A 15,615-nucleotide genomic window follows, 5' to 3' on the forward strand; every position below is an offset into this window, starting at 1 on the left:
GAGTAAATTAATTAAATAAATTGAATAATATATTTAATGCAGATAACTTTTGAAATACATATGAAAGTTTTACCCTAACTATAAGTCACATATAGAAAGAGTATAAAAGTAACTGTACACCTTTACTTTTTGTAATGTGAATACCCATAAAAACTTCTCCCTACTAATGGTATAAATTATTGTCCACAATCAAGAATTCTCCATTTACTTTGCCCCCCCCACCAATTCTCTCCTTACTAAATTTAATCAATATTGTAATTTATGTTGACTGTGTTTTTGCACATTTTAGGGTTACCTTCTTAAATATGTATCCCTAAACAGTGGATTTAGTTTTGCCTGTTTTTGAGCTTAGTATAAATGGTATTATGCAACATACATCATTCTGTATTGTGTATCTTTTGATGTGTGTTATGTTTGTGAAATTCATCCAGGTTGTATTTATCTATATAGTTCATCTATTTTCAAGCATATATTTGACGGCACTGTATAAATTAATATAACACAATTTATGTATTTTCCTGTTGTTGCATGTTGTTTTATTTTCCTGTTTGTACTTCTTTTTAAAGATACAGTTATGCATATTCTTATACATGTCTTCTGATATATATGTGCATAGATTTCAGTTAGATGTATGCTTAAGAATGAAATTGCTGGATGATAGACCATGTGTAGTTTAGCATTAGTGATATTAACTAAATAGTTTCTGCAATGATTGTATCAATATTTATTCTCACTAGTGACTTACTTATTACTAATAAAGTCAAACACCTTTTCCCTTGCTTATTTGCCACCTAAATTTCCATTTTAGTAAATTAATTAGCTGTTTGAATTTCTTGCTGATTCCTCTACTCATGTTTTTTTAGCTTATCAACACATGCTAGTTTGTTTTATATTCTTAGGTATATGTTTTAGGTATACCTTTCTTAGGTATATGTTTTGCAAATATATTCTTTCCATTTTTTTGGCTGGCCTATTTATTTTGCCTAAAATTATTTACAGGTTAACACTAAGTTCTTCATTTTAATATGGTCATATTTATCTGTTATTTATTCATGACTATTGATTTTTTTCCTATATAAGAAACAATCAGAAATCAGGATGATATTATGCTCTAATACAGTCAAATATTTGTATTTGTTTTTATACTATTTCTTCCCCATTTAGAAAGTGGCATTGTCAACTTGGTGCATGCCATGTGAGTATAATAAAATAGTATATAACACAAAGAAGATATATAACAAATATTTATAGAATGGTATTCATTTATATCTATCTGTCATCTATCGATCTATCATCTATCTATCTAATCATTCTATCATCCACCAAATAAACATTGAATTTATTTTAAAATATAATTTGGTAATAAAAATTAGTGAAATTATTGTCATGATTTTAGAGAATAAAAGATTATACTCATGTCTCTGTGCTGCCTACCTCTGAGCCAATCATTCTAATCTGAGTTTAAAGTAATCCAATACACCAAGTCTTGATTAAATGTCCTTCTTGGTGACAGGGTTTTAACTCCAATGACAGCCAGCCATATGCCATTTTAGAGGAGTCCTTTGTCATAATTTGAGGAAAAATAATATATTATTAATTCATTCAACCAAAAATTATTGTGCCAGGTTCTATTTAAGTTCATTTTAGGCTGTCTGGAAGAACTTATACAAAATTATAATTGAATAAGTTGCTTTAATACAAGGCAACAATTTTCTTAATAATTATAAATGTAAGTGGCCTAACTTTGTTACAGTAGATAGGCAGATATGACAGGGCAGAAGAGGCCCCCCCACCCCAACTAACAACCAGGAATTTCAGGCGACAATCAGGTGATGGTCTGGAAGTTGTTAACTGTCTCTCTAAAATAATAATTGGTTGCAGCCAGCTCTGGCGAAAGGCAGTCTCCCTGTAGATAGAAAAAAACTGAAACCAATGATCATGAGCTTCCTGATAAGATCCAAAGAGTTGGACAAGTGGGCTCACGCATGTCCACTAAGAGGCAAAATGGTGGAGTTTAACTGGTATATGACCGTACAGTGACATTCCACCTTCAAAGGGAAGGATGCCTCAGGTGAACATGTGTACAACCCCAGTAAAAACACTGCGCATGCTCCCCTCCCAAGTGCTCGCAGGCCATTGTGCATATGGACAAACCACCCCAAGGGCAGAATCAAGGGAGAAGGGATGCAAGACCCCTGAAGTATACCAATGTATAAAACCCCAACTCATAAAGGTCAAACCCGCACTTGTGCTTCAAATTGCTGCTTGGGCCTGTTCCAAGTGTACTTTCCTTCCTTTCATTCCTGCTTTAAAGCTTTTTAATAAATTTTCACTACTGTCCTAAAACTTGCCTCAGTTTCTTCTGCTGCTTTATGCCTCTCAGTCAAATATTTCTTCTGAGGAGGAAAGAATTGAGGTTGCTGCAGACATGTACAGATTCACTGCCAATAACTTGGATAACTGCCACTGATAGCAACTTGACTAATTTTAACCCCAGAGAAATTACTGTACTAACAATGCTCACATTTTCCAATCTACTGCATACTATTGTGGCTCTGGGCTTCATATTGTGCTGTAGGCAATACGTTGCAAAAAATAGCATTACACGGAGTAGTTAAGCATTGACTGTTCTGTTTGGAAAGAACGTGTAAAGGGAGGACTAGAATGTAAATGATTCTACACTTATTAAAAAACCAAACAAAATACGGGGACATCTAAAATGTAAAATGAGGCTAGTCTTTAAATCTGAGCATCTGAATAAGCATGACAAACATTTCATATCATTAGGTGGTATTTATCATGCATGTGCATATATGCATACATATATTGATATTAAAATGAACACTTAAGTGTTTTTATAATTATCAAATTGCTTTATTTCAGTGAAGCCTAAGAACAAGTTTTGTTATGCCCTCAGGAAAAATAAAAGATAACAAAATTATCCCTCATGGGTACCTCAAATTATGGCCTTACTAAAATTATAGCTGTACATGCAAAACAACATATTCATGAGTGGTTGGTTAAAACCTGAAATTATGGAGAAGGCTGAATTGACATATACAGCATTATCGGCAAAAACCTTCACACACTGTGCCCTCTAAAATGAGGCTTTATTTTCTGTCTGAAACATTGACAAGGGATATTCAATATGGGATATGCCAATGCATACTCGTTTATCTGTCATGCATTTTTCTTATTCTAATTTCTCCATAGAGTTTAGCAGTCATGACTTTTGTAATTATTATTGCATTATTCCCTCCATTCATATAAAATTATAATTTCTCTTTAGTAAAATAAAGCATGCAATTTGACTAATTTGTATTTAATGCTTATATACCAACAGTAGAATATTTAGCAGATTGATATAACACCATAATTCATGATACAGTATTCCATATATAATACTCATGATCAGAAGTGAGAACTTGCAATTTTTACTTCTCTTGATAGCAGCTCAGTTACATACTAGGAAATTAAGAATAAGAGTTTATTGAGATTCAAATATCTGTGATATGTAATTTAAAAAAATATTTCAAGTATAATAATATAGAAGTTAAACAATGAATGTTTCATGTAAACATGTTACCTTAATTATTATTAAATATTCATGTCATCATTTGTTTTTTATGCAATATTATTATACCTAATAGATGTTAGAAAATGAACTGTCAGAAAAAAATTTATAAGAACTAACAATTTAAAAATGCCAATATCAAGCAGTGAAGCAAATATTAAGATAAAATGCAATGTAAAAAAAATCAACATTTATAAATATGGAAATCAACAATGGATAAGACACCCCAGGAAAAATTAATATAAAAGATGCTAAAATAAAACTTTAAAAAAGGGTAATATTTGGATGGGCAAAAGTAAGAAATAGTCTAAAATATATACAAAAAAAATCAGGTGAAAGAATGAGTGACAAATTAGTATTTATTGAATATTTGTTGAGACAATGACTAGAAAAGTCTTAAAAAAATTACTAAGACATACTTAAGTTATAAGAAATGACTTTGGATTAATCTGCAATCATTTTTAAAAGTATCTTCAAATACTCAAGTTTGGATTTAATACAATTGCCATGATAAAAGACAATAAAGTAAAAATATAAATGTTTTTCATGCAAGTATGAAATTATTTTTAAAAATCAGACTACTGTGTAAAAATAGAGACACATAAAAAATACATGAAGATCATGCAACTGAACTGAGTTCAGGTTCAGTTAGATCTAGGAATGAAATGCCGTCAAAAATATACTAACCAGACATCATAAAGAGAATGATAAATATTACATCAAATAACAGTTTAGTTCATATCCTTGTGAATACGGTAAATTATGTAATTACTAGCTCTGTGAACTTGGGCAAATTATCTTCTATGATTTGCAGAAGCCCTGGTAAATAGTTCAATAAACATTAGTTTTCATTATCATCCACTTTCTTGATGGCAATGTTAAAGCGTAGAACAAAAATAAAATTATAAGCCACCAACCAATTGAATGGATCCCCCCCTCTCAGCCAAAGGCATTCAAAATAAACATGAAAAACTAGTTGAGGTGATGATGGGAAGGGAGTGTGGACATGCATCATTAAATGCTCCTTTTTTTTTGAATACAGGCACAACTGACCAACATTAACATTAAAACAAAGATCTTATGACTGACCAAGCTGACTCTTTGTAGCAGTAAGATACATCATATGACAGATAGCAGGCCCTGAAATTAATCAAAGTATTTTACACAAAACTATATTTCCTTGAGATATTTTTAAGTGGCACTGCAAAGCTGTCTCTTGTAGGGAAAAATCTACATTCACTGAAAATTCTCCTTCCCTTTTCAGGCCTTTCTCCTGAACTAGGAGAGAATAATTAAGAATAATTAACAGTCTGGCACCTTTTTACCTCTAACAAACATTTACAATCTATTCTCTTTGAAGCCTGCTACCTGAAGTCCTCATCTGCATAATAAGAACCTTGATATCCACAACCCCTTACCTTAACCCAGACATTCCTTTATATTGATTCCAAGCCTTGACATAATAATTTAACTCTTTCAACCATTTGCCAGTCAGAAAATCTTTGAATCTACCTATGACCTAGAAGCTCCTGCTTCCAGTTGTTCCACATTTCTGGACCAAATCAATGTATACCTTACATATATCAGTTGATGTCTGCTTGCATCATCTGTCCCAATAAAATGTACAAAATCATGCCATAACCCAGCCACCTTGGCGCATATTCTCAGGCCCTCCTGAGGCTGTGCCACGGGCATGTCCTTAACCTTGGCAAAATAAACTTCTCAATTGATTGAAACTTGTCTCAGATACTTTTTGGTTTACAAAAGTTAAAAAGAAGACAAAACATGCAAAAATGAGGAGATAAAACCTTATTCGTAATCATAAAGAACAAGTAACATTTGCATAGGTCAACTGCATCTATATTTTGAGCCTTTTCCCCTAAGTCAAGAGCAACAATTAATAATATTTCTAAAAACATTTGTGAAAAATCACTTGATGAATTCTAATTGATAATAATATACTAACTTAACATGTTGACAATGTCTTTATATTTGTTGCATCTTTTATTTACATAAGTAGAAATATTTACATTACAAAACAAATGTTTAATGAAACTGAATGACAGACACTTTATGCAAAATTTTATATAACACTTATTCCCACTTACCCAATGTCACAAACGTATTATGATCAAACAATGCAATTAAATATATTGAAACGACAGAAGCATGTCAAAAATTAATTAAATTATATGAGTTTGAAACTCATATGACTACAAATAATTCATAAATTGTAAGTAGAATGATAAAAGCAAATTTTGGCCAGGCGCGGTGGCTCACACCAGTAATCCCAGCACTTTGGGAGGCTAAGGTGGGTGGATCACTAGGTCAGGAGATCAAGACCTTCCTGGCTAACATGGTGAAACCCTGTCTCTAGTAAAAATACAAAAAATAAAAAATAAAAATTAGCCAGGGGTGGTGGCAGGCGTGCCTGTAGTCCCAGCTACTCGGGAGGCTGAGGCAGGAGAATGGCGTGAACCTGGGACGCAGAGCTTGCAGTGAGCCAAGATTGAGCCACTTCACTCCAGCCTGGGCAACAGAGAGAGACCCAGTCTCAAAAAAAAAGGAAAAGAAAAAAAGCAAATTTCATCTCAGTCATTAGAGACAAAGATACATATTTTGTGTAAAATTAAAATACTGTTTAACCAAATCAATTGAGATTATTATTACTACAAAATAAATAAATTAGCAAACAACATTAATTTTCATCTCAATGGTATGAGATTTGAAAAGAACTGCATAGTGGCATTTTGCTAGCAAAGCAAAGAAACAACATTACGATAAAAACTGAACAGTATTACAGTCATCAAAAACAGTGTTAGAAAAATGTGTTGATAATCTTGTGCATCAACTAATAGGCAAAATAACCAGCTAGCATCATAATGACAGGATTGGATTCACACATAACAATATTAACATTAAATGTAAATGGGCTAAATGACTGAATTAAAAAACACAGACTGACAAATTGGATAAAGAGTCAAGACCCATTGTTGTGCTGTATTCAGGAGACTTATTTCACGTGCAGGGACACATATAGGCTCAAAATAAAGGGATGGAGGAATATTTACCAAGCAAATGGAAGGCAAAAAAAAGTAGGGGTTGCAAACCTAGTCTCTGATAAAACAGACTTTAAACCAACAAAGATCAAAACAGACAAGGGCATTATATAATGGTAAAGGGATCAATGAAATAAGAAGAGGTAACTATCCTAAATATATATCCACCAAATACAGGAGCACCAGATTCAAAAAGCAAGTTCTTAGGGACCTAGAAAGAGACTTAGACTCCCACACAATAATAGTGGGAGACTTTAACACCCCACTGTCAATATTAGACAGATCAACAAGACAGAAAATTAACAAGGATATTCAGGACTTGAATTCAGCTCTGGACCATGCAGACCTAATAGACACCTTCAGAACTCTCCATTCCAAATCAACAGAATATACATTCTTAACAACACCACATAGCACTTATTCTAAATCGATCACATAATTGGAAGTAAAACACTCCTCAGCAAATGCAAAAAAAATGGAAATCATAACAAACAGTTTCTCAGACCACAGGGCAACCAAATTAGAACTCAGGATTAAGAAGCTCACTCAAAACCACACAACTACATGGACACTGAACAACCTGCTCTTGAATGACTACTGGGTAAATAACGAAATTAAGGCAGAAATAAAGAAGTTCCTTGAAACCAATAGGAACAAAGACACAATGTACTGGAATCTCTGGGACATAGCTAAAGCAGTGTGTAGAGGGAAATTTATAGCACTGAATGCACACATCAGAAACTAGAAAGATCTCAAATCAACACCCTAACGTCACAATTTAAAGAACTAGAGAAGCAAGTGCAAACAAATTCAAAAGCTAGCAGAAGGCAAGAAATAACTAAGATCACAGCAGAACTGAAGCAGATAGAGACACAAAAAAACCCTCCAAAAAATAAAATAATCCAGGAGCTGGTTTTTTGAAAAGATTAACAAAATAGATAGACCACTACTCAGACTAATAAAGAAGAAAAGAGAGAAGAATCAAATAGACACAATAAAAAATGATAAAGGGGGTATCACCACTGATCCCACAGAAATGCAGACTACCATCAGAGAATACTATAAACACCTCTATGCAAATAAACTAGAAAATCTAGAAGAAATGGATAAATTCCTGGACATACACCCTGCCAAGACTAAACCAGGAAGAAGCTGAATCACTGAATAGACCAATAACAAGTTTGGAAATTGAGGCAATAATTAATAGCCTACCAACCAAAAAAAGCCCACAACCAGATGGATTCACAGCCGAATTCTATCAGAGGTAATAAAGAGGAGCAGGTACCATTACTTCTAAAACTATTCCAAACAATAGAAAAAGAGGGACTCCTCCCCAACTCATTTTATGAGGCCAGCATCATCCTGATAACAAAACCTGGCAGAGACACACACACACAAAAAGAAAATTTCAGGCCAATATCCCTGATGAACATTGATGCGAAAATCCTCAACAAACTACTGGCAAACGAAATCCAGCAGTACATTAAAAAACTTATCCACCCTGATGAAGTTGGCTTCATCCCTGGCAGGCAAGGCTGGTTCAACATACACAAACCAATAAATGCATAAACAGAACCAATGACAAAAACCACACGATTATCACAATAGATGCAGAAAAGGCCTTTGATGAAATTCAACACCCTTCATACTAAAAACACTCAATAAAGTAGGTATTAATGGGCCATATGTCAAAATAATAAGAGCTATTTTTGACAAACCCACAACCAATGTCATACTGAATAGGCAAAAGCTGGAAGCATTCCCTTTGAAAACCAGCACAAGACAAGGATGTCCTCTCTCACCGCTCCAATTCAACATGGTATTAGAAGTTCTGGCCAGGGCATTCAGGAAAGAGAAAGAAATAAAGGTATTCAAATAGGAAGAGAGGAAGTCAAATTATCTCTGTTTGCAGATGACGTGATTGTATGTTTAGAAAACCCCATGGTCTCAGCCCCAAAACTCCTTAAGCTGATAAGCAACTTCAGCAAAGTCTCAGGATACAAAATCAATGTGCAAAAATCACAAGCATTCCTATTCACCAATAATAGACAAACTGAGAGCCAAATCATAAGCAAACTCCCATTCACAATTGCTATGAAGAGAATAAAACACCTAGGAATACAACTTACAAGGGATGTGAAGGACCTCTTCAAGGAGAACTACAAACCACTGCTCAAAGAAATAAGAGACGACACAAACAAATGGAAAAACATTTCTTGCTTATGGATAGGAAGAATTAATATCATGAAAATGGCCACGCTGCCTAAAGTAATTTATAGATGCAAAGCTATTCCCATCAAGCTACCATTGACTTTCTTCATAGAATTAGAAAAAACGACTTTAAGTTTCATATGGAATCAAAAAGAGCCCTCGTAGCCAAGACTATCCTAAGCAAAGAGAACAAAGCTGGAGGCATCATGCTACTTGACTTCAAACTATATTACAAGGTTACAGTAACCAAAACAGCATGGTACTGGTACCAAAATAAATATATAGACCAACGGAACAGAACAGAGGCCTCAGAAATAACACCACACATCTACAACCATCTGATCTTTGACAAACCTGACAAAAACAAGCAATGGCAAAAGGATTCCCTATTTAATAAATGGTGTTGGGAAAACTGGCTAGCCATATGCAGAAAACAGTCACTGGACCCCTCCCTTATACCTTATACAAAAATTAACTCCAGATGGATTAAAGGTTTAAATGTAAGACTTAAAACTATAAAAAAAAAACCCCTAGAAGAAAACCTAGGCAATACCATTCAGGACATAGGCATGGGCAAAGACTTCATGACTGAAACACCAAAAGCAATTGCAACAAAAGCCAAAATTAACAAATGGGATATAATTAAACTAAAGAGTTTCTGTACAGCAAAAGAAACTATCATCAGAGTGAACAGGCAACCTACAGAATGGGAGAAAATGTTTGCAATCTATCCATCTGACAAAGGGCTAATATCCTGAATCTGCAAAGAACTTATACAAATTTACAAGAAAAAAAAACAAACAATCCCATCAAAAAGTGGGCAAAGGATGTGAACAGACACTTCTCAAAAGACATTTATGTGGCCAACAAACATATGAAAAAAAGCTCATCGTTACTGGTCATTAGAGAAATGCAAATCAAAACCACAATGAGATACCCACTGTGTGTTAGAATGGCAATCATTAAAAAGTCAGGAGACAACAGATGCTGGTAAGAATGTGGAGAAATAGGAACGGTTTAACACTGTTGGTGGGAGTGTAAATTAATTCAACCATTGTGGAAGACAGTGTGGCAAGTCCTCAAGGATCTAGAACCAGAAATACCATCTGACCCAGCAATCTCATTACTGGCTATATACCCAAAGGATTATAAATCATTCTACTATAAAGACACATGAACATGTATGTTTATTGCAGCACTATTCACAACAGCAAATACTTGGAACCAATCCAAATGCCCATCAATGTTGGACTGGATAAAGAAAATGTGGTATATATGCACCACGAAATAAGATGCAGCCATAAAAAAGAGTGAGTTCATATCTTTTGCAGGTACATGGATGAAGCTGGAAACCATAATTCTCAGCAAACTAACACAGCGGCAGGAAATCAAACACCGCATGTTCTCACTCATCAGTGGGAGTTGAACAATGAGAATATACAGGCACAGCGAGGCGAACATCACACACAGGGGCTTGTCGGAGGGTGGAGGGCAAGGTGAGTGCTAGCATTAGGAAAAATACCTAATGTAGATGATGGATTGATGGGTGCAACAAACCACAAAGGCACATGTACATCTATGTAACAAACCTGCACGTTCTGCACATGTATCTCAGAACTTAAAGTATAATAAAAGAAAATCAAAACAAAAAAACAAGAAAAACAAAAGAAATAAACAAAGCATATATATATATATTATATATATATATATAATATATATATATTTTTTTTTTACAAAGTGAATATCACCAGGAACCACCTTCATGGTTTAACATTTGACATTTGACACTACCCCCACACAATGCAGGATTTAAACATCCCTGCCATCTATACTCTACCCACCAGTAGCACTGCTAAGTCTATAGCAATCAGAAGTGTCCTCATCAATTTCCAAATATCATTAAATAGTAGTATTAGCTATACTTGAAATATAGTGGTATTAGCTATACTTGAAAATCATTGAGATAGAAGATGATAGTTTCCCATGAAGCATGAGCTACTAATTATCAATTTGCTGTTGTCAAAATGAAATTTCTTTGCATTCATTTTCATCTTTACACTCACACATTAGTTTGAATTGCCAATGAGAATGAAATATTTGACCTAAAAGAGAAAAATAAAATATTGCTAGTGCAAAGAGAGAGAGAGAGTAAAAAAATGTGACTTTATGGTGCAATTTAAAGTAAGTATTCTTTCTGGAAGTTTTTCATATGGTTAGTGTTATGTTACTAAAAATTCCTGTAATCATTATTTTAAAAATCCTTCCTAGCTAATATTATAGACAATGAATAAACTAAAAATAGAAAATTTACAATTCGCTTGAATAACTTTTATTTGTTAACTAATAAATCTAGGAGAGAAAACTATATGTAGCAAATTTATGAGATATTGAAATTGTTTTACATACAGTGTGTCATACCCCTGAACTTCATCTACCTAACTTTAATGATTCTGTACTCCTTGGAAATGTATTGATGAAGTGGGAGAAAAATTATCCAAAATAAAGGGCCAAAAGAATAAATTAAATTTATTATCAGAGGAAATAGAAAATGTCTGTAAATTACAGCATCTATAGACAGCTATGTTTGCAACATCCCTTTAACCACGCTATGATATTTGCTAACCATGCTAGTGCTATTTGTTCTTATTACAGACCCAGATGGCCCAGGTTGATCTTTAATTTGTTAGGCTCAAAATAAAATATTGTCCTCTCCAGAGTTTAACAAAGGTTGTCCAACTTTAGAATTTAAGACATTCCAAATAAATCTGTTTCATACTGCAATTTAACCAAATGCTGGCTATAAAGATTAATATTTTCTCCTGGGTCTTTCCAGCTGCTCAGATTTAAATACCTTATTGCTTGACCATCCTTCTTTACTTGCTGGAAAATGTTCTAGCTTGAGTTATTAGGGAACTATACGTGTGTGTGCGTGTGCGCGTGTGCGCGCGTGTGTGTGTAAGAACTTCATAACTGCAATGGAATACATTAATGAGAAAGTAAAATGTATATACATATTGGGATGAAAAATAATGCTTCCTTTTTCTCTCTCCCTTTTATGGTATTGATTCATTTCAAGCACTGCTTCTCTTTGGTTGGATTTCTATGGTCAATAAATATAATTCTATTTTGAAATTGTATTTAACTATTGTGTCCTGTGGGTGTAGTATATTTAGGTTAAAGTATCACATTTGTATAAGTTCTTTGGTGCCACACAAAAAAAATCTCATTCAAATGTTAAAATCATTTCAGCTAATTTATGAACAATTTTTAAAATGTATGAAATGAATAAGAAAAGTAGGCTTCCTGATAGCAGAAAACTCTGCTGTTGGGGTACTACTATTTTAGGAATACTGCCACATTCTGTTTACTTGTAATTGTGTGATGTAATTTACTTGTAATTGTGTGATTTATTCAATATATTTTTGTTAAAAGTCTGCCATGTGCCAAGAGTTGTAAGAGGTGTGCATAATAACTAACAAGCAATGCTGAAATATTCAAACAAAAATTACTTAATTTTAAGAATTTATACAAGAAAAATAGGCTGGTGAGAAAACGAAATGCTGGCTGAATTAAAAATCATTGTATGGACGAATAAAATAGAACAGATAACTAGGAAATTTAGGAAGGGCACAGAAGGAAGAGAAGTAAATTCATATATTGATACACAAGTACTTTTGCCTTTTCACATAGGCAAATGAAAGTTCAATTTTTTTTGGAAATATGGTATTTTACTAATTTTATTTGTTGTCAGCTGTGGAGAAGCCCAGTGATGAAAATTTTCTTTACTTTAGTATCTCTTTTAGAGTAAACAGCCATCTTTAATACCTATCAATGGACAAATCTATGAAAATAACTCTGTGGATTAGATTAAAAAATCAGTCGCTGGTAAAAGATGTGACAGATCTAATGTGGACATAGAGGTACATTGACAATAAAAGGTCATTGTCTTCCTCCCTTTTCCTCCACTACAACTTTTACTTTCCACACCACTGCTTTTACTGTTTAGATCCCACATACTAAACATTCTGATGCAGTTTCTAATTTTCTATGTAACAGTATTATTTCTTTCATTTATAGTTATAACTTCTTTAACATAATTTATTTATACTTGTTTTCACTGAGGTAGATTTTTTAAAGCATGCCACTTATGACCATTATTATTCTTAGAATTATTCTAGTTATTATTATTCTAACAACAGGTAGAAATACTTAACACATCACTCATCACAGAGACTAAATGGTTCTCTCACTCAACAAACTCACCGCTTTTATCTGTACCATGCAGTTCTAAACAAGATAAATAAGAGCACAAACAAATTGGAGGGAAAAAAGCCCCACAAAGCTTGCAAGAAATTTTAAACATTGTAATCAATGTGTTTATTGTGAATTCACTTGTTTTTATAGTTTTGTTTATAATGATATTTTACTTGAAAGTGCAAAAATACATGTCATGCCCACCAATCATACAATGAAAATCCTTCCACATATATTCACTGTGTTAGATAATGCTAACCAGTAATATATGGAGCGGCTTATCCACAAAATATGATGTATGTGTGATCAATTACATGCTAAAAATATACAGAAACCAAAAGAAATTTATCAAAAGTTAAATGGAAAACAATAAAGGAAAACTCATGAGAAACATACTAAAAAAGGCATAATTATTGTGAGATAGCATGTAGTAAAAAGAAATTGAGGTACTAAGTAAGGAAGCAGGGATGACAAACAGCTTTAGCCTCAGTATTTTATCAGAATGTAGTCTTTAGCCTCTCCAATTTCAGCCTTGGATATTGGAAAAATAAATAGTTAAATATCTTCCTCAATATCATTTTTAGCAATCTCAAATATTTGTGTAATCAAGGCATTTATTTTCATAAATAACCACCATAAGACATTAATGCAAACAAATTATAGTATTAGGATTTATTTTAAAAAGTAAAGAAATATTTATTTAATTGTAAGTACTAGTAAGCATTCAAGATATAACTTGAAGTTACATTATGGAATAGGCACGTTTTAATGGTTTCAAAAGAAGACCTTTTTACTGTATGTTTCAGATAAAGATACTAACAAAGCAGAACTAAATTATGGTTGCTTGCAGAGAAAGTAGTTCCTTTGCTGGAACCTGCTGAGTAACTAAACTGTCCTTTGACAGTACAAGGATGTTTTACATGATAGCAGGGGGAAAAATTTTACAATTATTCTAGTCCAGGGAAGATACTAGAATAAATACATATCAGTGAAAGATATGATGCAAATGGAAATTCAGAAAATATTTTCTTGGCTTGAAAGGCAGTTACTTTGCCCATTGTCATATTTCTAGATCATTTTTAAGCAGAATTATTTGCCAAGTAATTTTGTGAAGCAGCAATTTTTTCTTTTTTGTGCCTGGCTGATTTCCTTTAACATAATGTCCTCCAGATTCATCCATGTTGTCAATGTGGAATCTGTGAAAAATCTGATTTCATAGAAATAGAGAGTAGAGTGATGGTTAACAGGGGCTGGGAGGGTGGGGAGTTGGGAAGACGTTGGTCAAAGGGTACAGAATTTCAGTTAGACTGAAGGAATAAATCCAAGAGATTTATTGTACAAAATGGTGACTATAGTAAATGACAATGCATTGTAGTTTGAAAATAGCTAACAGAGTACATTTTAAGTATTCTCACTATCAAAAATGATGAGTGTGAGGGAATGAATGCATAAGTTAGCTCTATCAAGCCATTCCACAATGTACACATATTTCAAAACATCATGTTGTACCCAATAAGTACATACATATCAGAGTATCCTATTTTAAAAACTCTCTCCTTTGTTCATTTTTTGTTTTGCTCTTAGTCATGTATTAGCCCCTGCTCTCCTTTTTCCACCAGACATGCCCTTGTACAATGTTTTTCTTATCTAATTAATGATTTCTGAGAAGTTCCAAGGTCTAACTCTTGAGACAATCTAGTCAACTTTGGAATTCTCATCACACCTGGAGATTAACTCAAGATTTCAATTAATTTTTACACACAGGCTGTACCCGATCATGCCAGCCCCAACACCCGGTGGGAAAATAACTCAAGATAGTTGTCAGAAAAGGATATGTAGACCGCCACCTCCTCACCACTCCTGCATGCCCCTCAAGCCAAATTTCCTTGCTTAGACCACTGCTCTCAGTTCAAAATCTGAAATGGTTTCTTTAAGGCATGAGCTTGGTCATTTCCCCAACTGCTAGCTTTTGGAATAAAGTCATTTTCCTTTCCCTGCATCTTGTCCTTTTTCGTTGACTTTACAAGCCGTGAGCAGCCAAGCTTGCACTCAGTTACATAGGGTTTTTGTTAATTAAAAAAATTAAACTAAATTTTAAATAAATTTTAAAAAGGAACAAGTAATTTTTTTAAAAAAGTAGAAACAGCATTATAATAAGGATAAAAATATTAAGTCTACTTGTTTTCGATGGCCTTAAGAATTTGGAGGCGTAATGGTCAACTACTTTGAGAGTTTTGGTACATAAGCTTAACTCTTAAGTACCATCTAAACTCCTAAGCTCATTAATTTTAATGCAAAATAGTGTACATATCTTCTTGTCGAGTTTATATAAACTATATAACCTCTGTTGACCACAACAACAGGTCCAAGAGTAGATGCAGAGATGAATCTTAAGTTGTCATTTGAGAGAAAGGAAAGATTAATAATATACTATCAGCATTTTCCTGAGCATGATACTGTATTTGGAAAAGTATAATATGGCTCAATAAATAGGTAAGTAGTTGATTGAATAGATAG

The 15,615-nt window shown here is 33.4% G+C and overlaps 1 annotated feature.

Moving 5' to 3' along the window:
• Positions 4,682-5,215: an enhancer, noted in NCBI's record as "NANOG hESC enhancer chr1:191439867-191440400 (GRCh37/hg19 assembly coordinates)". NCBI's record gives its function as "activates a minimal SCP1, AML or CMV promoter by ChIP-STARR-seq in primed H9 embryonic stem cells {active_cell/tissue: H9 hESC(primed)}" and the evidence as "EXISTENCE:reporter gene assay evidence [ECO:0000049][PMID:30033119]".

This window comes from Homo sapiens, chromosome 1 (genome assembly GCF_000001405.40).
Source record: "Homo sapiens chromosome 1, GRCh38.p14 Primary Assembly".
Lineage (NCBI taxonomy): Eukaryota > Metazoa > Chordata > Mammalia > Primates > Hominidae > Homo > Homo sapiens.